At 41.1% G+C, this 26234-nt stretch overlaps 1 protein-coding gene across 5 annotated transcripts in view, besides 1 other annotated feature; it reads right to left on the bottom strand.

The window, feature by feature from the left end:
• SCRN1 (secernin 1) overlaps window positions 1-26234 on the bottom strand; it is a 70187-nt gene that overhangs the window by 32000 nt on the left and 11953 nt on the right. For 3 of the 5 annotated variants that reach the window (NM_001145514.1, NM_001145513.1, NM_014766.5), the window contains exons 2-3: window positions 16807-16966; window positions 3077-3258 (exon numbers count right to left, since the gene is read on the bottom strand). In NM_001145514.1, coding sequence (NP_001138986.1) covers window positions 3077-3258; window positions 16807-16966 — 342 coding nt within the window. Of the gene's footprint in view, window positions 1-3076; window positions 3259-14224; window positions 14309-16806; window positions 16967-26234 lie in introns of those variants that run through there. The other 2 variants (XM_047421085.1, NM_001145515.2) reach the window with 2 other exon arrangements.
• Window positions 8563-9352: an enhancer, noted in NCBI's record as "NANOG-H3K27ac hESC enhancer chr7:30000281-30001070 (GRCh37/hg19 assembly coordinates)". NCBI's record gives its function as "activates a minimal SCP1, AML or CMV promoter by ChIP-STARR-seq in primed H9 embryonic stem cells {active_cell/tissue: H9 hESC(primed)}" and the evidence as "EXISTENCE:reporter gene assay evidence [ECO:0000049][PMID:30033119]".

The raw sequence follows: 26234 nt of genomic DNA on the forward strand, positions 1-26234 counted from the left end.
AATTAAGAGAATGAAACCAACTGATAGAAAGTTTCCTGTGGAGCAGCGGTTCTCACCGTAACCGTGCATCAGCACCAGCTGGAGAACTTGTTAAAACAGGTTGCTGGCCCCTGGGTGTGAAATAGGGACCGACAATTTACATTTCTAGCAAGTTCCCAGGTGATGCTTGTTCACCAGCCATACTTTGAGAACCACTACTCTAGAACTTGCCACTCAAACTGTGGTTTTTTGACTTGTAGTATCAATATCATCTGGAGCTTCTTAAAAATTAATACTAGAATTAAATCATTAAAAAGGAAATCTGGGGTGGGATGTGGTGGTCCACGCCTGTAATCCCAGCACTCTGAGAGGCTGAGGCAGGCGGATCACTTGAGGTCAGAAGTTCGAGACCAGCCTGGTCAACATGGTGAAACCCCGTCCCTACTAAAAATACAAAAATTAGCTGGGTGTGGTGGCATACACCTGTAATCCCATCTACTCAGGAGGCTGAGGCAGGAGAATCGCTTGAACCTGGGAGGCGGAGGTTGCAATCAGCCGAGATCATACCACTGCACTCCTAGGAAACAGAGCAAGACTTGTCTAAAAAAAAAAAAGAGAGAGAGAGAGAGAATGCTGGGTAATGAGCATGAGTTACTTTTAGGATTTGGTTGGTATGAAATGACCCTTCAAAATCTGGCTATGCTTGGCTGAACTGATCATAGCTGCTTTAAAGATGAACTCAAAAGATCCACTTAAGGTGCAGATGCCTGTGACTCCATCCCCACCCTGAAGAACCTACCAGTGCTCTTCACACCCTTTTTATTACAATAGCTGGACATGGCTAGCCCAAGATGGAGTTAACGTTATATGGTGAAGGTTAAACTCTCACCCTGTCATCTACTCCTGACCTTGCTAATTATCACAATGCCAAGTCTGTGACAAACATATCTTCTGTGTCTACCTCCCTCAGCCTTGCAGCTTCAGGTCAAATGAACCTGCCCCTCAAAGCATTCCCAAATATGACCAGTCTGTGATAATCTGTGAACATCCCGCAGTGTTTGCTGAAGGCCACACCCTGGAATTCTGTGCCATTCACGTGGCATCAAATCTCAGATCACTTTGAGTTACCTCTCTCCTACTATCTTCTTATATTATTCTTAAAATTTCCATTGCTCAATTTTCTTCTTCCTGCAACCAGACTAAAATCCCTTTGAAGCTTTGAGCTGCTTCATGTACCCACAGAGTCTAGAACAAAGTAGATATTCAGTAAACTCCTGTTGCTTTATTGGTTGATAATCTTAAAAAGATATATCAGGTGCTCTGAAGAAAGGCAAAAAATCCTCTTCCACTGTCCCTTAGAAATCAACTGTTAAAATGGTAATTTTGCCTGTTCTATAAGTCTCATACTGCAAATACAGTAAAAAATACTGGAGAGCTGTCAAAACATAAGCTAAAAAAAAAAAAACTTCTTGTTATTCTATACATTTCATTTTGCTAATCAAGAGAAAACTAGCTATATATAACTGGTTTTTAAAAACTGGCTTTTTCTGCCTTTTCCCCAGCTCAGGGAAGCTGCTCCTCCTGAGTTTATAAGAATGAGGAACAGTAAGGAAAGGTAAGGAAGGCAGGAAGTCACTGTGCTACCAAAAGGGTGTCCCTCGCAGACCTCTCCATCAGGTGGCAGAGGAGTGAGTTCCCGAGACCACTGTCTAAATGTGCCATTTCCCCCTACAAAACCAAAATCCAACCCCATTCCTTTTTCTAGGATGTTAGCTTTGGGAGTTCTTCGGAAGTCATCCAATCTAGACCTCATATTGAAAAAATGAGGAAACTGTGGCCCAGAGAGGTGATGTAACTTGGTACATCCACACTGAAAGCCAAGAACTCCAGCTCCCAGCCCAATCTTCTTTCAACTATGTCATGATTTTATTTCATTTCACTATTTCAGGGACAAAAAAAGGCATTTCAGAATGTTGCTTTGTTCCAGCCTACCTTCTACTTTAGTCATTCATTCAAAATTCAGTTATTGATCACTCATTACAGGCCAGGCACACAGTTCCCAGTGCTTATGACACAGCAGTGTACAGACAAAGATCCCTGCCCTATCCAGCTCGCACAGCAGGTTCCTTCTGCTGTGTAGTGGCTGGGAGAGGGGAAAAAGGAAGAAAAAATAACTGAGACATAGAGAGGAAAGGAGGGAAGTGATCTCTGTTCTATTTTTCTTTTCTAGTTTATGATTTTTCATATTTTTATATATATATTATATATTTCAAGTACTATAAAATCCACCCATTTAAACTGTACAGTTCAGTGGTTTTTAGTGTACTCACAAAGTTGTGCAGCCATCACCACAATCTAAGGTTTAGAACATTTTCAACACCCGCAAAAGAAAGCTCATGCCCATTAGGAATCACTCCCCATTCTCTCACCCACACCCAAACCCCAGGCAACCACTAATCTAACTTCCTGCCTCTATGGATTTGCCTATTCTGTATATTTCATATAAATAGAATCACAATATGTGACCTTTTGTGTCTGGCTTCTCTCTCAGTATAATGTTTTCAAGATCATTATGCTTTAGTATGTATCTATACTTGATTCTTTGTTCATTTGTTTTTGATGGAGACTCGTTGTTGTCGCCTCAGCTGGAGTGCAATGACATGATCTCGGCTCACTGCAACCTCCGTCTTCCAGGTTCCAGCAATTCTCCTGTCTCAGCCTCCTGAGTAGCTGGGATTATAGGCGCCTAGCACCACGTTCGGCTAATTTTTGTATTTTTCGTAGAGACGGGGTTTCACCATGTTGGCCAGGCTGGTCTCGAACTCCTGACCTCAGGTGATCCACCTGCCTCGGCCTCCCAAAGTGCTGGGATTACAGGCATGAGCCACCATGCCCAGCCACTTGATTTTTTTTTATTGTTAAGTAATATTCCATTGTAATCCACTCATTTATCTCATCATCTTAAAGTTTCTATCAAAAGGCACACATCATCTTTGGAAGGATTATGTTAAAAAATGCAAGGTTTAGGGAGAAATAAATCCTGTCCCCATTTCCAACCTTTTCTAGGAAGTTGTTTCAAAGAATCACCATGCAGTACCTGACCAGATCCATCCCCAGCAAGGCTTCTATCTCGGCAGCTGGCTCTCTGGTGTTGATGGCTTCATTGGCTATGCACACTCCATGTTCATTGGCTCCCATTTCTGCTCCCCAGAGCCAGGCGGGTCTGCTTATCATTATGGCATAGGTCCTTGGAACTTGGTCGATTGAAATGTAAGTGCACTGAAAAACAAACACAGGAAAGAAAGCGCCATCACCTGTCAGGTACCACCTCATTTCTGCCTGGGTACTTATACTGAACCATCATATTAGTTACAAACAGAGCCAAAAAATAAAAGGCCTTGGGAATACCCTGATTTTTAAGTCTTCACAATGCAGCTCAAAAGTCTCCATGGTGAGTTTCAGACTGTGTGGCTTATGCCAATCTATTCCTGGTGCTCACGTAATAGGGCAATCATCTTGAACCAGGTATTCAGCCAATCATCATCCTGAACATCCTAAGCCTGCCCATTTCAACAGGCACAGGCGGCTGCCAGCATTCACCAATATTGAACACAGCTATTTACGAGCCCTACCTTCAAAAGAAACTTCACCTAGAAGCCTAAGATAGAAAGCAGGTAAAAGGGAAGATCTTTGCCTAAAGAAAGCAGAACCCTGAGTCCCCCTGCAAGGACCCTTTGGGTTTCCTGAAACACAGTTTGATAACCTACATGGTTGCTCTAGTGGTAGAAAACAGAAAAGGATAATAACATTTGCATTTAACTACTGCATTACACTGTGGGATTTCCTGCCTGTCCCATTTGATCCTCACACTAAGACAGTGAGGTGGACACAGAAGGAAACAGTCCCATGGAGGTGCATCTCCAGCTGCTGTCAGAACTGCAGAACACACAACTTAGTGGTGCATCTTACCTTCTCCAGGCTGCAGTGGCTTTACCTGGAAAATGGGGGAGCTAATTTGAGTCAAACTATTTCTTCCCAAGTATTTTTAACCTCAGAACACCTTCTTCACACGAACTCTTACACAGAATCATAAGCACAATAAAATCAGTCAAAGTATGTCCAGGCAAAGGGAGGAAGAGGCCCGGGACCAGGATGTGGGTAACCCTCAGAGTCTCGCCCTCCTGTGCTTCCCTTTCCCCTCCCCACGTTGTGACCCACGGCAGAGGAACCTGCAACTAGCTTCCCCATGGGGGCCTCCTGACTCTGACATTCTACGAGCCTATGACACACCCTTTGTGTGGTGGACGCTGTATTGAATTCAAGTCTCTAAGTTACACAGTGCTCTGGAGCTCTCAAGGGAGAATTTTATCAGCTGCAGGAATCATTTACATTTTAAACGGGGCAGCTGAAAGCAACAGCAGCCTTAGATCTTTCTTTTTTTAACTCAAGACCCAGCTATATCGACTGAATGCAGCCCACAAAGCTATTCTGTATTGATTTCCCATAATCGCTAAACCTCAGGTAAGAGCTGAAACCCGTGTGACACACACACTCACTGGTCAGGTGACTTTGGGTCTGCACAATTCATGTTAAGGTGTTGCTCTGCACTGGGATAATGTCATTTTACTTGATAAATATTTGCAAACTGAAAACTAATTATATCCAGAGGTTTTCAAGAGACTCTTGAATTTTTCATGGCAAACTGACAATAAAATATACTCAAGATTTTCCCTCTATGCAGTTCCCAAAAGTTATTTATTTAAAAAAAAAATGATTCTTGTAGAGCACGAAGCTGGCCAGAGCAGTAATCAAACTCTGCTCCTCTGTGCTCTTCTAAATGGAATTGACGTTTACATCTTAACATTGCACTCTATGTCAAAAAGTAGTCCAGGCATTGACCAACACTTTCCAAAACCCCTGTCCGCACTGAGTGCCAGTGGCAACTTTTGTCTTGAAAACAATGAGTAAATAGGAAAAGAATCTCAGCTTCTTAAGCACAGATTTATCATACAGGTTTTTAAAAGGGCAGAAAAAAAGTAAAAATTAGGAAATGGTTTATTTGTCTTCAAATTCATTTTTACACACTCATTTCCATTTCCCCAATTATTTACAGAACACCAACTACATGCAAAGCATTTTGTGCTAAATGCTGCAAGCAGAAAATCAGTGAGGAGGCCCAGGCCCTGTCCTTTTGGCTGGGGAGGAAGGCAAAGGCGCGCACACAAATTCCTACGAGCCCAGGCCAGCTTCAGTGTCTCCCAGGCCTGCCTGCTTCATTCCTGAAGCATCGTGCCACTGCCTCCTGCTTTGCCCTTCTGATCCACCCAGCCCAGCTCTGCTTTTCCTCTTTGCCGTTCCATTCCATTTATCCCCTTCTGAAATACTACAGAACTGATGGACTTATTACATGTACTGTTTATGTATACTATCTCCCCCAGCTAGAGTGTAAGCCCCAAGAGGGAAGGGGGATATCTTTGTTATTTAGTTCACTGACATGCCCCAAGTCTGGTATATATCAGGCATCAATAAGCCTTTTGTTGGATCGGTGGCTGAATGGATGGCTGGAGAAATTACAAAGCTCTAAGGGAGCACAGAAGGTAAAAGTCCAAAGAAATGAGGAAACACATCCGCATGGTCCGCTAGAGGCTGTATCACGTGGGAGAAATCTGGGTTGACCTTAAAAAATGGGCCAGCCATCAAGGTACTCCAGACAGAGCTAAGGGCTTAAGAGAGGAAGGGGCATGTGAAGGGTCTCTATGGTCCAGAGAGGTCCCTGCTGTGCCATGTGGGGGAGCTGCCATGATGTCATTAAGGCACAGAACTACAAGGGCTTAATACAGATTGCCTGATTAAAAAAATGTTGACAATTGAATCAAAAAGACCAGATGGTCTTTGCAGGAGTTCAAAATATATGCAGCCAACTTGATGTTTTTCAGGCCAAACTCGGAATGGTGAGGAAGGAAGGGGATCCCCAAGTAGCCAGATGGGCCCAATCAGCCCTCCTAAGCACCAGACCGAAAGCCAGGCAGCCAGATCCCTTCACAGGCCCCGAGCCTGGAACACATGCCCCTTGCTGCATCTTTGTCACGGGCCACAGAGCACGGGCCTCATAAGGGCTCTTCTATGACAGCCATTCACACCTGCTCCATTATGTTTTAAATCTGGCTAATCACAACCAGGTGGGGTTGGGGAGGGGTAAACACACTTGTCTCATGTAGATAGACTGGCTACTTAAAATCCCACTTTGGGAGCAGATCTCACAAAATCAGGAACACTTACACAAAATTTAATTAGCTCAACTTGGTAAAGTCAGCCATCTAGAACATGAACTCCACAGCCACTTTTAAATATAAAATCCACCCACCTTTACAACTGCCACATTATTAATGAGCCAGAGAAGTGGGATTTGAGGAAGCAAAAGAGGTTTCTCTAGGTACAAATATCCAAAAAGCACCTGACATCTTCTTTCAGTGTGGCAAAAACAATTTAGTTCCCCAAGTCAAAATTCCTAGCTTAATTTCTATTAGAAAAGAAAAAGAAAAAAGGCAAGTGTTCACCACTTAAAAGATGGATCTTTACAGAGACGGTGCTGGTCTCACCTTTGGTTATTAAAGTGAACTGTGGAAAGAGATGAGCAATTGGTCTTTCTGCCCCATGGCCACTCCCACCCAGCCTTTCATAAAATAAATCTGTCAGCTAGTGTGACTTCTGGGTGCCCAAGTCACATAACAATATAAGAATGCCCAGAGCTGGAGTGTGGGCAAGCATTCTTCTAAATGTCAGCACTGCCCAGTGCTAATCAGGGGGTTTCCAAGGATCCGCCTGTCCTGAGCTTGCCACTCTCTCAGGGACCACCTGCCAGGTTAGGTTGGAGGATAGAAAACATGAGCCTCGAAAAGAACCTAGAGCCAAAGACAAAAACAATTCCACAGAGCAAGCCCTTCATTATTTTGTGAGATTACGTCGAAAATGAAAAGAAAGATCAGCTTCATGCCGTCACTTCACCCCATCCACATTCCAGCACACACTATTTCTGGATATGACCCAGTGAAAGGGGAAACAGAGACACTCACACAATAGACGTTTCAATTAATGAAACACAACCATTGTGCCTTTCGTACTGTACTCAAGATGGTGAACACAACCCTGGCACCACCAGCAAAAACCATTGTGAGATGAGTTGATGAGTCAGCCAAACTTCTTACGGTGGGAGAAGATGGCAAAGAAAATGGGATGCTTTGGAGAGATGTTTTTAGCTTTTAAAACTTTGTAGCTCTAAAGAAGCATTAATAACTATCACTGAGGGTTTTTTATTTATTTAAAATTATATATGTGTGTGTGTGTATGTGTGTATTTTGTTTGTTTGTTTTAGAGATGGTGTCTTACTATGTTGCCTAGGCTGTCCTCCCAATACCTGGGCTCAAGCGATCCTCCCCTCTTAGCCTCCCAAGTAGCTGGGACTAGAGGTGTGTGCCACCATGCCCTCCATGTTTGTTTTTATTTTATTTTTTTACCCCAGTGTCTTGCCTGCTATTTGACTGGTTTTAGGAAATGTATTCTTAAGGTTCATATAAGTTTAAATAAAGACAAAAGAAGGTGCTGAGATCAGAGGGCAACATCCTCAACCACACTTTAGAAGAACTGTTTTTTATTTCACTGAAGCATAAGATCTTTGGGGAGGAACAATGCAAAGGTCTGAGATCAGAAATGCATCTGGGAAAGGGGACATTATGGAAGGAAGCCCTCTGCTAAGCCATGTTCTCTTGGAAGTGAGGGAGACACTTCTGACTCCATACAAGACTGGGGACTCCTGATTCTGGAGCTGACTAGAAGAAAACAAAAAAAGAAAGAAAGGAAGAAAGAAAGAAAGTGGGGGGAGGGAGGGAGGAGGGAGGGAAGGAAGAAAGGAAGGAAAGGAAGGAAGGAAGGGAGGGAGGGAGGGAGGGAGGGAGGGAGGAAATCTGTCCAGTGGTCATGGAGCTTTGCTCAGCTCTCTCTGATTCCAGAATGACTTGTACTTTCCTATTGTAAGAAATAACTTTCAGAATTAAAATTCAGCTCCCCCGACTCCCGCAACATACACACACCCCACACATCACAAATATAGCCTCCATCTGGACAATTTTACTAACAATGCTACCAGCCATCATTAACTGGTAATTTTCTATTCTTCTTGTAAATATTTTCAATGATAAAGAAAGGGGAAATAATCTACCAAAAGCCTCCCCCAAATCATGAAAGTTATATAAACTCATTGACGACAGTGAATCCATACGGTATTTCATGTAGTGGAAAACAGACAAAAATTTAAGCTAATTTGAAAAAAAAAATGAGGAAATGATAAAGACTTTAAGAAAGGAAATAATGGAGACAATATTTATTACCAAAGAAAGACTCTTTTAAAAAATATTATGTGTCAAATCTAACTTTGTTATCAAGAATTCTGTCTCTGTAAATTCTGGTATAATTAGCCTCTTGGACACCAAGTATAAGTAATGTAAACCTTAGCCAAAATCCACTGTTTTTCTGGAAAAGTAGTCTAATGTTGGATCCATTTTTTTCCTAAATAGAAGGTTCAACCATGTAAGAATGGACCTGTACCATCCATGAGCATGCATGCATACACACACACACATCCACACACACACACATCCACACACCATAATCCAGGAAGTTATTCCTCTGCTTCCTCAACACGCCTACCTAGAGGGAGGGCAGGATTTGGGGTAAAGTTGAGATGAGTTCTCTGATGCATCCTCAGAGAGGATACCTATTTATCAATAGGTATTATAAATATTGATACCTATTTATCCATCCTACTCTGCAACCAAAAGAGATGTTGTTAAAAGCCCTGAATACACAAGGGAAATACTAAAGAATATAAAATTGGGATGTTCCAATCGCAAACTGCAGCTGAAAGAAAAAATCCAGTGTAATTTTGGAAACTGAGGAACTCTGTGCTGGAGGATCTTATTTCTTTTTTTTTTTTTTTTTAATTTATTTTTTTATTGATAATTCTTGGGTGTTTCTCACAGAGGGGGATTTGGCAGGGTCATGGGACAATAGTGGAGGGAAGGTCAGCAGATAAACAAGTGAACAAAGGTCTCTGGTTTTCCTAGGCAGAGGACCCTGCGGCCTTCCGCGGTGTTTGTGTCCCTGATTACTTGAGATTAGGGAGTGGTGATGACTCTTAACGAGCATGCTGCCTTCAAGCATCTGTTTAACAAAGCACATCTTGCACCGCCCTTAATCCATTTAACCCTGAGTGGACACAGCACATGTTTCAGAGAGCACAGGGTTGGGGGTAAGGTCACAGATCAACAGGATCCCAAGGCAGAAGAATTTTTCTTAGTGCAGAACAAAATGAAAAGTCTCCCATGTCTACTTCTTTCTACACAGACACGGCAACCATCCGATTTCTCAATCTTTTCCCCACCTTTCCCGCCTTTCTATTCCACAAAGCCGCCATTGTCATCCTGGCCCGTTCTCAGTGAGCTGTTGGGCACACCTCCCAGACGGGGTGGTGGCCGGGCAGAGGGGCTCCTCACTTCCCAGTAGGGGCGGCCGGGCAGAGGCGCCCCTCACCTCCCGGACGGGGCGGCTGGCCGGGCAGAGGGGCTCTTCACTTCCCAGTAGGGGCCGCCGGGCAGAGGCGCCCCTCACCTCCCGGATGGGGCGGCTGGCCGGGCAGGGGGCTGACCCCCCCACCTCCCTCCCGGACGGAGCGGCTGGCCGGGCGGGGGGCTGACCCCCCCACTGGAGGATCTTATTTCTTACTCTTCTAGTCTTAAATACAGTGAACTTGACATATGGAGATGATGGCTGGATGGGACTGACTGACAAGAAGATGGAGAGAGGCTAAGTGGACAAGTTGAAGGGAGAACCGCCTGGAAAGGGGGATCAGTTGGCAGGTGGGTGAGTGGATGAATGAGGAGTCCACACGACTTTTTCCATGGTTTTTGCATGTGTCCAGAGGTTGCCCTAGAAACCTCATACTTGAGAGTGTTGAGGTCCCAGGAAATCATTTTCTGAGAATATAACCACCTAGTATATAATTAGTTTCATATAATTATTAAACACTGTAATTATTAAATAATATAATTATTTACATATAATTAAATTATACAATTATTAAATATAATTATGTATATGTAATTAAATTATATAATTATTAGATAATTGTTTATATATAATTAAATTATTATATAATAAATTATATAATAGAGGGTTATATTCTCAGAAAATGATTTCCTGGGACCTCAACACTCAAGTATGAGGTTTCTAGGGAAACCTCAGGACACATGTTTAAAATGTCATGAAATGGGCCAGGCATGGTGGCTCACGCCTGTAATCCCAACACTTTGGGAAGCCAAGGTGGGTGGATCACTTGAGCTCAGGAGTTTTGAGACCAGCCTGGCCAACATGATGAAACTCTGTCTCTACCAAAAATACGAAAATTAGCCGGCTATGGTGGCACATGCCTGTAATCCCAGCTACTTGGGAGGCTGAGGCAGGAGAATTGCTTGAACCCAGGAGGCAGAGGTTGCAGTGAGCTGAGATCATGCCACTGCACTCCAGCCTGGGTGACAGAGTGAGACTGTCTCAAACATAAAATAAAATAAAATAAAATAACATAAAATAACATAAAATGTCATGAAATGGCTGAGGAATAGATGGGTTTTTATGAAAAGTTCTTACTCTTCATAGTTTAAAAAAGTCTGTATTTTAATAGTTGCTTGTATAAAAGTTACATGATAGTAATTGTGGCTCCTAGACCTAAATATGGAAAGAACCCATCATTCTGTACTTGGTACAAGTATAGGAGATGGAGACAGATGTAACTGTAAGGGAACTAAAGGGGTAAGAGTAAGTTTGAAAAGCAGATTCAGTAGTATGTGATGTGCCAAAGACAGTTTTGGAACTGAGACCCGGAGTCACAGCAATTCTCATTAGTCAATTCTTTAAAAAAAAAAAAAAAATCCTTCTTCACAATGTTCTCCTTAAAGCTTTACAAAGTGCTTTCATGCATCAGCTCACGTGTGTCTCACTAAAGCCTGTAATGCAGGCAGAGGGGGTATTATGATCTCTATCTGGCAAATAAAGAAACTGAGTTTCAGAGAGGCTCAAAGGCCCAAGACACTATAAAGGGAGAGGCAAAACACGAACCTAGGACCCCTCTCTCCTGGGCCAGAACTCATCCTCCTAGTTTCAGGTGGTTGTAAATTTCAATTGACATGCATAGAGGAGTATCAGGCTAAAGGGAGGAGTGGATATTGGTGTTGAGGCCTGGAAGGATAAACAGGAGTCTACCAAGTAGATGAGAGGAGGGGAGAAGAAGGATCTTCTCAGCAAAGGACAGAAAGAGCAAAAGCACAGAAAAATGCAAGTGTGTTATTTGTTCAAGAAAAGGCAAGCAGTTCAGTGTAGCTGGGGCCTAGGGTACAAGCTGAGAGGGCAGAGCTAACAATGAGAATAGAAAAGTAAGCAGGAAATTGTATAACCCTTACGGAGGTCAATTCTTATAAAAGCTTTACCCTATGACCCAATGATGCTACATTTGGAAGTACATCCAATGGTATCTACACATGCACAAAATGACTTATGTACAAGGTTCTCCACAGCTGCACTTTCTGGACTAGCAAAATACTGGAAGGAGTCCAAGCATCTACCAATAGAGCACTAATTAAATGAACTATGGTACATCTCCACAATGGATTACTATGTAGCTGTAAGAAAAAAATAAGGACAATCTCTATAGAAAAATCTTTAGAAAATGTTAAGTGAAAATAGGAAAGTGCAGAACTTTTCTGTAAGTTCAAAGTTATATATTAAAAAATCATGTTTAATAGTAGTATACATAATGTGCTGCATTCACACAAAACAATAGAAAATAAGGCCTGATATTCAGTTTTTTTGGATTTGCATAAAATACTTGAAGGATATGCATGAAATTAATAAGAGTTATACAGGATGGAGACAAGGGAGGAAGACTTCTTACTGTGAACCTTTTAAATATCATTCAATCTTTGAACCACATAAATATATGATTACCTATTCAAAATGAAAAATTACATTTTAAAATGTCTTTAGCCAAATGAGTTAAAAACTTATGTCTACACAAAAGACTGCACACAAATATTTATAGCAGCTATGTTCATAACTGCCAAACTTTAGAATCAACTAAGATGTCCTTCAGTGGGTGAATGGATAAATAACCTGGTATATCCAGAAAATGGAATATTGTTCAGTGATAAAAAGAAATGTGTCATCAAGCTTGGAAAAGACAGGAAGAAACCTTAAATGCACATTACTAAGTTTAAAAAAGCCAATCTGAAAAGGCTACACACTGAATGATTCCAACTATGTGACATTTTACGAAAGGCAAAAGTATGGACACAATAGGATCAGTGATTTCTGGGGGCTAGGGTGGGTGGGTGAATAGGTGGAGCACAGAACCTCTAGGACAGTAAAAGTATTCTCTATGATACTACAATGGCTTGTCATTATACATATAGGTATACCCACAGGATATCCAACACAGAGTATAAACTATGAACTTTAGTTAATAATACTGTATCAGGCCGGGCTCGGTGGCTCACATCCATAATCCCAGCACTTTGGGAGGCCGAGGCGGGTGGATCACTTGAGGTCAGGAGTTCAAGACAGGCTGGCCAACATGATGAAACCCCGTTTCTACTAAAAATACAAAAATTAGCCAGGCATGATGGTGGGCACCTGTAATCCCAGCTACTTGGGAGGCTGAAGCAAGAGCATCGCTTGAACCCGAGAGCTGGAGGTTGCAGTGAGCCAAGATTGTGCAACTGCACTCTAGCCTGGGCGACAAAGCTAGACTCTGTCTCAAAAAACAAAATATATATATATATATATACTGTGTCAATATTGGCTCATCAGTTGTAGCGAATGTACCACATTGATGCCAGACGTTACTAGCAGGGTAAACTAGAGGGCAGGGTAAGGGGCTGTTTGGGAACTCTCTGTGCCTTCTGTTCATTTTTCTGTAAACATAAAACTGCTCTAAAAATAGTCTATCAATTTAAAATAGAAAAGAATGAAAGAGAATAAAAGAAAGGAAAAGTGAGCAGGGTGCCAGTTGGGAAGAGTTCTGAATGGCATACAAATCAGCTTGGACTCTCATCCTGTAAACAAAACGAAACACTTTTCAGCAAGGGAGTGGTAGAGCTATCTATGTTCTGGGAAGAAAATTCTGGTAACCCTGTAGGGAGAAGAACCCAGGAGAAAGAGACCCAGGGACAAATGAGAAGATTGTAGCAGAAAAGAGATGGACTCAGTCTGAACGAGTCAGGGGCAGCGGGGAGGAGATGGACAAACAAGAGAGGGGGCAGCGGGACTCAGTGACAGCTGTCCCTGTGCATTGGGGATGGGGGAAGTGAGGGTCGACGTTTCCCGTGGGCTTCTAGTATAAACTACGTGGCCGACAATGCATATGTTGTTACAGCAACATATATGAGCTGGGGGAAATGAATTTGCTTTCTTACCCGTGAGGTTATTTCACCTGCAGAATATGCAAGTGGGAACGCAAAGAGGCAGCTCAAAACACAGGTATGGAACTCAGAAGAGAGGTCAGAGCTGCCTTAGAGGCTAATTATGGTATATATCACACTATACTTATGTATGGAAGGGGACAGGATTTAACCTAAATATATCTGAGTAATCATATACCATAGGTTAACTAGCAAAAGGAATCTAGCCTCGTCCTTAAAATAATTGTAACCATGAGAGTAAAGTAAGAGTTATGTAGCCTATCCTCCAAAAAAGAAAACAAATTTTTTTGAAATATTTATTTCAGACATGTTTATAAATGGCTTTGTGTGATTTTTGAAGTTAGTATGGCTACTTAACAAATTACCCCAAAATTTAGTGGTGTAAAACAACTTTTTTAATGCTCATGGATTTGAACAGCAAACAGCAGGGATAATGTGTCTCCACTCCAGTGTCTGGGGCCTGGAATCATCTGAGAGACAGAGGAACGAGAGAGAGAGAGAGGAACCAGAGACACACAGAGAGAGAGAGAGACAGAGAGAGAGAGACCGAGAGACAGAGAGAGAGAGAGAGAGAGAGAGAGAGAGAGAGAGAGAGAGAGAAGCTGTATCCTTTTATGGCCCAGCCCTGGAAGTCACATAGCATCACTTCCACCATGCTCCACCGGTCAGAGCAATCACAAGCCCTCAAAGATTCACAGTGAGAGTGAAGGGCATAGACTCACCTTTCCCTCTTCGTGGAAGGAGTGCCCTTCACACTGGAAGAAGGGCACTTGGGATGGGATTTGGTGCAGCCACCTTTGAGAACTTAAATCTGCCCATGTAAAAATCAAAGATTATTTTAGTTTGTATGTCTTTTGGGAAAAAAAGATAGAAACGTTCAGGGAGGACAGACAAGGAAGGTCAGTAACAACTCAAATCAGCAAACTTTATCTACACAGAGTCCACTCTGTTCCAGGAAAAGAGAGAAACATTTGGACCCAAATAACATGGACATTCACTCATTGATGAATACCCATTTAAAACCTAACATGCTCACCAGGGAACCTAGCACTCTTCTTCACCTATACGAAAGGAAAATCCCACTAAAGTTGCAAGGGCTTTTATTAAGTTAGTGGCTCAGTAAGAGAGGAAAGTGGGTCTGGTGAAAGCCCAGTAGGAGACAGTCTGCCACCAGACCATCCAGACAGCCCATGTGAAGCCCTGCCCAGCTGCCTGTTCATTTCAGTGCCTTTGTTAAATTCATGTAAAGTAAGCAGCCCCTCATAGAGTTCTGTTGCTCTTTGGTGCTGATTACTGCTTTTAAAGAACTGAAACAGAGCCAGTGATTTAAGATTTAGATATGAAAATAAAATACACATTGGATGTAATGGAAGAATTTAAGAAAAAAAAAAGAAAATACAAATTGATGAATGCCTATTTGAAACCAAGCACAATCATCAGAAAAATCAGTTTATTTTGTGAAGCACAGAGCACCAAAGAATAGAGGTTATGTAGTGAAAAGAGCTTCTTCATTTACTAGCCCTAATTTATTTTCTCCAGATTTTTCATCCTTTAACAAACTACCATCTAAACACACACACACACACACACACACAAACACACACAGGTAAATACACTTATAAACAAAACATAACCAAGAAGGTTATGCCCTGAATGCAAAGATGGTTCAATTTATCACATAAATAAGTGATTATCTCCATAATTACTGAAAAGATACTTAACAAAATTTAATATCTATTCTTGAGTTGTTGTTTTTAGAAATACTCAAAATAGAAATTCATGTATACTTTTTTTTTTTTTTTTTTAAAGAGATGGGGTCTCACCATGTTGTCCAGGCTGGTCTCAACTTCCTGGGCTCACGTGATCCTCTCACCTCAGCCTCCAGGGTAGCTGGGACTACAGGCATGTGTCACTGTACCTGACTGATGTATACTTTTTATCATAAGCCAGGTGCAGTGGCACATAAAACTATATAAATCTCAATCCCAAAACCAGCAGCTTACTTAATAGGGAAGCACTAGAGACAGCCCCACTCAGGTCAGGTGCAGAGCCAAGGACACCCACTATCTCCACTACTACTTAACATAAAACCCGAGCTATAAGCCAAAGCAATCAAACAAGAAAACAATTAAAGACAGAACAACAACTAAACAATCTCTATGTGCAAGTGATATAAAAATATACCTGAAAACCCCAAGAAAAGCAATGATAAAAGCTGACACAACCAATAAAAGAATTTAGTAAAATGGCAGAAAGTATAATTAACATAAAATAGCCATCGTGAAAGTTTGACAACACATTCTGGGAATATGAAGAAATGGGCATTGTCATACAGTGCTGATGGGAATGCAAAACGGTACACCACCTATGGAAGGAAATTTGATAATATTTAATAAAATTACATTTTTATTTACCTTGTGACCCAGCAATTTCATTTCTAGGCATCTATCCCAAAGAAATACTGACAAAAATAGTATTTTTAAAAGATTTGAAATAAGAATTAATGGATAATGTTTTATTATGATAAAAATATATAAACTGAGACCAGACACTATGACAGATGCATAAGGCTGTTATCCACTTCAGTGCTGTTTGTAATAGCAATAGACTGAAAACAATCCAAATGTCCAGCAGTAATATGGGGCTGGTTAACTATGATACATCCATAGAATGAAACACCATGCAGCTCTAAATGAGGAATTATGACCTGCATGTACCGTAGGGAGTGATCTCCAGAATATGTTTTGAGTTGAAAAATACAAAGTAGAGATTCAACCTGAGAAAGCTGATTGAAGAAAATAAAAAAATAAAAATGAAAAAAAATGCAAAGTAGAGAAAAGTATATATGGCATGCTGCTGTTAATCGAAGAAAGGAGGAAAGGGACCAGGATGAATATGCACATGTGTGTGTGATTTGTTACATATATATGTGTAATTTTGCAAATGGAAGGATAAACCAAGATCTTCCAAAACATGATTACCTATAGGGGAAAAGATCATGGAGTAAAGGGGACAAGGATACAAGTTAGACTTCTATGAATAAATCTTGTTTTTTAGATTTGATTTCAGAACTATGTACATATTTCACTTAATTATAAAACAATGGCCATAGCAGTGAGCATAGAGCTCTCCCATGACCTTGTTTTCAAGGCTATGAGCAAACCTGCATGGAAACAGGAATCAGCAGAACTGACATGATAGCTCTGACTTGTGAGCAAGCTTCCAAGCAAGAAGTTAGGGTTGTGCTAGCGGCAAAGCCAGAGAAAAGAGAGTGTGACTCGCGAGACTGCAATGCACGGCTTACCTCAACCTTGCTCTCCGGTTCGTGATCAGCAGCCGAGAAATACACAACCTCTTGCACTTCATCTCTGGGCCGGGCTGAATTTTTCCCAAATACCACCAGACCATCCTTAGCACGTGGAGGGAAGGCAACAAAACAGTAACTTGGAGGAGCTGCAGCCATCCTGAAAAGAGAATGCCAGCAAGAGTGGAAGCAGGCCTCACATGGAACACTCCAACAGTGAGTTCTTCAAACATATTTCACCAGCTAAAAGGGTTTTACTATTGAACTGTGCACAGCTAGCTCATTAAGAGATCCCAGCTGGCAAATGAAGGTGGGACGCCTGCAGTGGAATGACAGAGCCACCGAGACCAGATATTGTTTAATACTCTGTGGGATTAAATGAGCTCAGATTTGCAACAAACCACAGCGGCAGCCAAAAGTGCAGTGATGTGGGAGAAAGGAAAGGAGGTTATTGTTCTAGGCAGAAGACACAGACACACACCACACATACACACACTGCAATCTGTTCACAGTAATAAAATAATAAATAAACATACCTTAAAACTAACTACACAAATGCCTCAGATCCAGAAATGCATAGCCACCACATAACAGATTTGGGGTGTGATGAGGAAATGGGTCTACAGATCAATTGACAGATACCCTGCTTTGTTGTTTTTAGTAGTTTTACTCCACCTCGATGACATAACACTCAAACACCTTTTGGTTTTCCGTCCACCTCCCCAGCTGCTCCTGGACTGGCTTGTTCTACCTGGCCAGTGCACATCCTCACTGCTTCATCCTTCTTTCCTCATTTAATGATCTTTTCTATCTGGGAAAATGCATCCATGCTCAGAGTTTCCCTTGTCAGTTACATGCTGATGACTTACACATTTAATTCCAGCTGGGTTCTCACCTTAAGCCTCTGACCCACAGACCCAGCTGCCTGCCTGATATCCGAAGCTGATTTCATCTTCTTCCCTTTTCAAGGTTCTTTATCTTGGTAGCCAAGGTAACCATCCTTGCCATTTGCTTCTCCATTATCTAATATATCACCAAGTCCTGTACATTCCATCTCCTAAATCTCTATGGAAACCTCCCACTCCTCTCCACCTCCACTGCCACCACCCTGCACCAAGCCACCACCATCTCCAGCCTGGACCACTACAATAACTTCCGGAGGGGTTGCTCCAAAACCTCTATCACTCCCCACTCCAAAACATTCTCTGCATTGCAGCCAAAGTGATCCTTTTAGAAGGAAGATTTGATCACACCATTCCTGCTTAAAATACTTCAGCAGTTTCCCAAGGCTCTTGGAATAAAGACCAAAATATGATCAAGTTTGTTTCCCCTTCCCAGCCCCATCTTCTACCACTCACCCCTCCACTCTCACAATGCCGGCACACAGGCCTTTTTCTAGCTCCTCCAGTGCCTGCCAGACCTCTGCACATGCTCCATCCTTTGTCCTCACCACTCCCTTCCCTGCTTCCTGTACCAAAACAATCTGCCTGGTTAACTCCTCCTCTTTCATGTACCAGCTCAAATATCACTCTAGTACTCTAATGTGTGTTGCTGTACTATACACTCTCATAGAATCCTGTCCTTTTCCTTCAAAGTAATTATCATAATCTGAAATACTTGTTTGATTATTTTATTACCAACAATCATTATTTAGTCTCTCCCAGCAAAATCTAAGCAATATGAAAGCAAGGACCTTTCCCTTTTGCACACTGCTGTAACCGCAGCCGTACACTATGTCTTATGCAGAGTAGATTTTAAATGAGTGATAAACAAGGGTTCTTTTCTTGTTTATTAATAGTCCACCATACTGAAGCTGACTCTCTAATATCTCTCTTTTCTCCCGCCATGCCTCTGCACCTGGCTTGAATGCCCTGCCCTTAGTCTTTGTACATATCCTTCAGGATCTGATTCAAAACCCTTTCTTTCATAAAGACTTCTATAAAGGACTCTCATTTATTCACCACCCACAGGTACTAATACATCCATTTTGTTATAAAATAATGTACATATGTTGCTTGTATATTTCTTTACCTGTTTCAAAGAAAGCTCCCTGAAGGCAGGACTGATGCCATCCAACCATAGTAGCCCTTTCCCCAACCCCTGGCATTACAGGCACTCAAGAAACATTATCTAGTGTACCAACTATTGTATTTGTGTCATCAATTATCCAACTTCCATGTGTTTTATTTTACAAGTCTGAAATATAAGTGAGAAGTACAGCAATCTTTTCAGAAAAGCACAAGAATGGGATTCAAAACTCAGCTCCACCACCTACTAGCTGTGTGACCTGCTTAAGTCACTTTACCTCTCTGAGCCTAGGTTTCCCTCTTGCAAATGTTTTGCCACAGCCCACAGGTTTATCAGAGTATCAAATAAAATGATCCTTGAGAACATGTTTTGCAAACTGTGGAGGATGCATAAGTATAGGATACTTTATTTGCTGGCTGGGTGTGGTGGCTCATGCCTGTAATCCCAGCACTTTGGGAGGCCAAGGCAGGCAGATCACTTGAGCCTGGAAGTTTGAGACCAGCCTGGACAACATGGAGAGACCCTGTTTCCACAAAAAATACAAAAACTAGCCGGGTGTGGTGACATGCACCTGTAGTCCCAGCTACTTGGGAGGCTGAGGAGGGAGGATCATTTGAGCCCGGAGAGGCTGAGGCTGCAGTGAGCCGAGATCACGCCACTGCACTCTCAGCCTGGGCAAAGAGTGAGACCCTGTCTCAAAAAAAAAAAAAAAAAACTTTATTTGGGTTTTGACTGTTAAAATAGAGCAATATCTAAAATTTTCTATTAAGCAAACCAATCAAAATCTACTTGCCTCATTCCTAATTAGAGCAGTTACCAAATTGCAGAGTCATCAATATTCTATGTTTAGAAACCTCTTTGTATGGGACTGTATTGCTATTTCTATATCCAATCTACTTCAGGTTAATTTCTACATGCACACTCAGAGTTCTTCCCTGCATTGTTTATGGCAGGCCCCTCCCCAGAGTGCAGAGAAATGGAGGAGCCCCCACAATTCTGAAAATAATTCCCTTCTAGCTCAGTAGAACATCACCCCTTCCCTCTGGGAAGAAAAGCCAGAAAGATAAAGAGGCTCCAGTTCTTTCTCCCCTTAACCTTTCCCATTTTCACAAAAACGGCTTTATCTTCAGACTGGAGGAGTAGAGAGAGATAAACAAAGAATGTGTATGCACAAGAAAGACCTAGAATAATTATGAAATCAAATGCCTTTATAGAGTGCTACTAGAATCTGGGCATCGGGGGAATTGCTGGAGACAAATAAAGTGAAACAGACCCAGAGGAAGATAAGATGGGGAAAGGATGCATTTATCTTGTGTGATGCCTCGAGTATCTCATATGCTCCCTCTCTCCCCATCACTGGGCCATTTCAAAAGAGCTAGTGTCTTGCCTAGGAGCAGAACCTTACTTTATTTGATCCTTAAAAATGGTAGAAATCCACCAATTTTGCATTTATGAGATTTATCTATAGAATATAAATAAAACCCATGGGGTTTTGGGCAAGCACCTATTGTTTGGCCAAGGCACCTGCTTAGTCAGCAAATAATCTGGGTCGCATGATCATGATGAGGATATAGGCAACAGAAGCCCAGGGGTATGTGGGCCAAGGGAGGCTGGCTTTTCCACTAAATTTTGTGAATGACTGGGAATGCCAGCAGGGAGCAGAATTTCAAAGTCTGTTTTAAGAATTAAAAAGCTAGATGAACCAGCAAAGTGTGCATCAGACCTAGGAGCAAACTAGCCCAGGCTAACAGTCCATTAATTTTTCCTGAATCACCATGTGTGCACTGACTAGCTTCAGAGATGACTTTTCTGAAAAGAAAATTTTCTGTAGAAAATTCCAAAAGAATTTTCTACAATGATGGAAATGTTGTATGTCCACCATTCAATATGGTGACCACTAGCCTCAGGCAGCTATTGAAGTGTAGTTAGACTGATGAAGGAGCACAGTTTTCCATTTTATTCAAAACGTAAATTAATTTTCATTTAAATAGCCACATGTAGCTAGTAGAAACTCCATTGGACGGGACAGTGACACAGAGTCCCAAAGAAACCCAGAAATGAAGATTTTCATATTAAGGCTTCCAGTGATCTCAGAAGTTCTTGTTTGTGAAGTCCTCTTATTCTAAGGACAAAATGTGCTATCATCCATATAAACTGAATTAGCAAAGAGGAGGTGGGACACTTCCGGAAGACTGAAGAAAACAAACTTTAGGAAGCAGCTACAAAACTCACCAGGCTGACTTAGATTACATAAGTTAAAGGTAATCATAGCTGTAGATGCCAATTACACTTCTCTTGGTGCGAATCTCATATCCTGACTCTGAAAACACCATGAGAGTGGCCCTCATTACTATCTGGGAATCCTTTGTGTACTTGTCTGGCCAATTCCTCTATTTCCTAAATGAATTTTTGACACCTTCACTTTTCTTCAAATCTCCAACCACCTCCTCTAAGCAGAGGTCTCACTTTCTATTCCACAAAAGACAGGTGAATGGAGGGAGAATGTTTCAGAGAAAGGACATGCAGGCCTGAAGGCCCTGCAACTGGAGAAAAGGAACGGAGCCAAGAAATTAAAAAGCTGATGCAACTGAGGACAGGGAAAGTAGGGTAGAGGCCTGGAGAGGTGGGTATATGATGGGCAGGTCCACACTGAGCCTTGAAGGTCACATCAAGTACTTTAGTGTCTATTTCACAACACACAGTAAAGCACTGAAGGCTTTTAAGTCAGGTTTTAGGTTGAAAATTGCATACAGACAATATCAAAGAAGTTGCCTGTGATAGGAAGGAAACCACAAAGCAGACAGAAATGATGAAAATAGAATAAGTAATTTCATTTCTATCTACGTATCCTAAGGAAACAATCAGGAATATGGGCAAGGGGTATGCATAAGTGTTCACGTAGTGGTATTCATACAGGCGAAAAACTGAAACTTACTTGTCCAGCATCAGAGAACTGGCTGAAAATGTCTGCTACATCTATCGGGTAGAATACTATAAACCCATTAAATATATGTTTGTGAAGAGTTTTTAATTGCATGAAGAAATGATTTGAGGGGCAAGATAAATTATCTTATTTAAAATATAGATAGAAAAAGACTATGCCCAAATACTTGCCCAGGAAATGTATTCAAAATATTAACAGTGGGAGCCCAGCAATGAAATATTCTTTGTTTTTTCATCTTTTCCTCTAATTTCCAACTTTCCTATAAGTATTTTTACTGATATAATCCCAGAAATGATTTTTAAAGTAAACCCAGGAGAGAATAGCAATTTAGGAATTTAATTTTAAAGAAAAATTTTAGTTCTGCATCTATATCCTAATACATCTGAAATTTCAAAAGTGGCAAATTCTTATATGAGTTATAGCTAGGATGAATTTTTTTATTTGGCATTGTTCTCTGATACTTTCTTTTACCTTTTTTACACCTGCCCAATTCAGAGTTGCTCAGAGAGCACACAATGTTTCATTACTATGTTTCACACAAATAGTGAGTTGGCCTCCTACAGTTGTCCACATGGGAAAAGAAAAACTGGCCAGTCTGGAAGCCAGAGCTCTCATGAACCTGAGACGAAACCCTTCGGAAAGTGATTCAAAGGAACTCAATTCTCTTCCTATTATCTGTCAAAATATTGGGTAACATACCAGACATTCACACTAAAATGAAAAAAAACTGACAAGTTACATCATTTATATATTACATAAAACATGCATTTTAAAATATTTGTTTACACGATTCTTTCTTTCTTTCTTTTTTTTTTTTTTTTGAGATGGAGACTTGCTCTGTCGCCCAGGCTGGAGTACAGTGGCGCGATCTTGGCTTACTGCAACCTCCACCTCCTGGGTTCAAGCAATTCTCCTACCTCAGCCTCCTGAGTAGCTGGGATTACAGGCGCATACCACCGTGCCCAGCTAATTTTTGTATTTTTAGTAGAGATGGGGTTTCACCATGTTGGCCAGGCTGGTTTCAAACTCCTGACATCGTGATCCGTCTGCCTTGGCCTCCCAAAGTGCTGGGATTACAGGCATGAGCCACCGTGCTCAGCCCTACATGATTCTTAAAAACTGTTAAATTATTCATGCATGACACAAGAAACTGGCTTTAAGATTTTTCTCCTTTTCCTTTATAATCTCATACAACGTTATGAAATGTATATTCTCCTTCACAAAGAAAAAGAAAAAAAGAACCTAAAATTCAATTAACTCTCAATCACATACACGAATATAAAAACTTAGAACATGAGAAAACTTATTTATATTCAGCTTTGAAAAGTAGAATATAAGCATTTGATGATGGGGTTTTCCATCATAACTACATTCTACTTAAACGGGTGTTAAAATCAGTGAACAGAGTTTGTCCAGAAATAAAGCTATAATTGATGGCTTTTTAAAAAACTTCCTTGTTTGAGGCATAATTCTGAAGCTGCTTTCTGAGCCGTGGGGACCCAGAAATGGCGGTGGGGCTTCAGTGTTACACTATAGGCCTGAAACTGGATGTGGGTGTATCCAAAACAGTGTTTTCCTAACTGTATGTTGTGGCCTTTTTGTGGTTTATGAAATCAATTTAGTGGATAGGAACAAGTTTTTTCAGAAAAGCATTTTTAGAAAGCATGTATGCATCTCATACAGTAAGGGTAAGTACTAATGCCAGAAACTCTAATTTTAAGTTTAGGTCCATACACATGCACATATAAGCGTCTATAGGTACTATGTTGAGATGTAACATTTCTTACTGTGAGTCTTAAGGAAAAAACTTAAAAGCAACAGGCTAAAAGGGCAGGTCTGCTGAATAAGGCTTCTTTGTGGCAAATACCCATTAGGATTCTTGCCAGGTTAGCAATACACTGACAGTTCTAATTAATGAAACACTCTAATTTAACTCCCATAGATGGGTAAGCTGACAAGCATTTCCTAAGAAGTCCTTGTTAAGAGTATTTTAAAGTGCATTTATCTGTAGTTTGTACTATACATTTATGTTCTCTGTATTTTCCAACTGATTAGTTTAATGTTGCATGCTATTGGAGGAGAGGAGACATTAAAGACTGGAGTTTAGGATAAGGATGGAAGTTGTAAATGTAAAGGTATCATGTAGCTGGTACATTTTTGTGGTAGAGAAAAGAAGTCAGATTATTCACGTTGGCAGAGTATAAAAAAATATCTGCTACTTTTTCTCCTTGTCCCCCCTCCAATCAGCTCTCAGTGCGAGCCACCAGTTTTCCTTCAGACCAACGCTGTCCAGGAGCATTTTCTGAGATGATAGAAATAGTCTCTATCTGCACCATCCAATACAGTAGCCACCAGCCGGATGGGCTATCTGGTACTTGAAATGTGGCTAGTTCAACGAAGGAACCAAATTTTTAATTAATTTCAAGTTAAACAGCCAATATTAGGCTAAGTGATATAAGCCAGTCACGAAAAAACTTACATAAGGCATCTAGAATAGTAAAACTCATAGAAATAGAAAGTAGAATGGTGGTTGCCAAGGGCTGGGCAGAAGGGAATAAGTTGTTTACAATCTGCGTACAGATTTCAGTTTTGCAAGATGAAAAGGCTCTGGAGATCAGTTGTGCAACAATATGGATGTCCTTAACACTTCTGAACTCTACAGTTAAAAATGGTTAGGATGGTAAATTTTATGCTATGTGCGTTTCACCACAATTAGAAGTAAAAATTAGAAAATTAAAGAGCCACATGTGGCCAGAGGCTACCATATTAGACCATCCAGCTTTAGCTACTGTGCCATTGGCTATGATAAAGCATCCCTAAGCTTAGTTTCTAACCACCACTGTCCTCCTTATCAAACTTCTTTCAGGATTCATGACTTCCTCTTGGGAACAAGATAGTAGTGCTTCCCTGGAGTTTACTGCAAAGGAGCTGCATGTACCAGCATTCATCCTCTGACTGGTGGCAGGAGGCCCAAGTTCAGGCTTGAGGGACTGGAGTACTGTACTCTCGTAACTAGGAGACCACATACAGAATGTGTAGCTGAGGAGGGAGGAAGCTGTGTGGGAGAAAAGGTCTTTGTCCTCAAGTTCAGTGAGTAGTTATTGAAGGCGTGAATGCTCTGAGCCAAGGCAAGGTTTTTTTCTGCATGACTGCCAGACTGCCCTGCACCTTTATCTCAATGATGCACACAGTATCCCTCATCAGTTACCTTACCCATTGAAAAGAAAGCCTTGACTGCCTAAGAGAAAGAAAATAACTGTCTATATAAGCTATCGGTTTATTAAGCGTCTTGCAAGTACCGATGACCAACTGCCTTTACTTACGTAAAGAATGAAACCCAAATGTCCAGCTAGACTTCCCTATTCTCCACACTACCAGCTTTATTGAGCAGACTGAATACATTTAAATTCAATGACTGTGAATTACCACCTTCCAGAAAAGCAAAGGAGAAATTATTATACTCTTCATTAATAAATTCATTTTTAAATGATTGCCATTCCTGCTTAACTGAAAACAGGACAAATGATACTCATTTACAAATTGATTTTTTCTGTTTTAAACCTTCTATTGAAATAGGAATAAATGAAGTGTTTGGGAAAGGAATTAGCTAATTAAAAATTGGGATGTAAATGCCAGCTGATGAAAGTCATCTATATAAATTAGCTCAGACTCATCAAGCTCTGCCCAAAAGAAAGATTTTACTAAGTGTTTCATTGAAAGCTCATGAGAGTAGAGCATAAAGCTTTGGGACTCCACAGCCAGTGAATTCCAGCTCCTAATATTCAATGCCTTGAATGAGGAACCAAGTAATGGAAGAATAACTGTATGGGCTATTAAGTGAGTAAGCAGGCTTTGAAGCCCACCTGGGTTCAAATCTCAGCCCTGTCACTTCTCCAAGCTTTTATAAAAAAGGGATAATGATAGGTAGTTCATTCTTCCCAGGGTTGCAGTGAGATTTAAATGAGATAATGCTTATACCTACTTACAAAGTGCTCAGAATACCATTTGGGACACAGCAAGGACTCAATTATTGTGAGAACAAGAGAAGGATACGTGATGAAAGCGGTCCCTTTGTCAAAGCCTATCTGTTCAGACTTCAGAAACTTTCCTTGAAGTGTCTAAATGCTCTTTCACCTTTTGAAGATTTGCTTCATTGTCACTTCATGTCTTTTAAGAGCTGCTTAACAGTCTCTTTCTCCAATTTCAAAGGCAATATCTACTTCTGACAGTTAACTCTGTGGTCTTCAGTGCCAGTCTGCAGCTGACATACTTCCCAGCAGCGTGGTGTGGAACAGGGGTGACAGACTGCAGATTTGGTTGGTTTGGCCCAGAGTGCTGCATTAGATTGTGTTTTTAGAAATCTGAATTAGCAGCTAATATTTTAAGATCCAGAGATTTCCTATGGACACTCAAATATTTGGCTTCTGCTAAAAACTCAAAGATCTGGCAACACCAA

Source organism: Homo sapiens, chromosome 7 (genome assembly GCF_000001405.40).
Source record: "Homo sapiens chromosome 7, GRCh38.p14 Primary Assembly".
Taxonomy (NCBI): domain Eukaryota; kingdom Metazoa; phylum Chordata; class Mammalia; order Primates; family Hominidae; genus Homo; species Homo sapiens.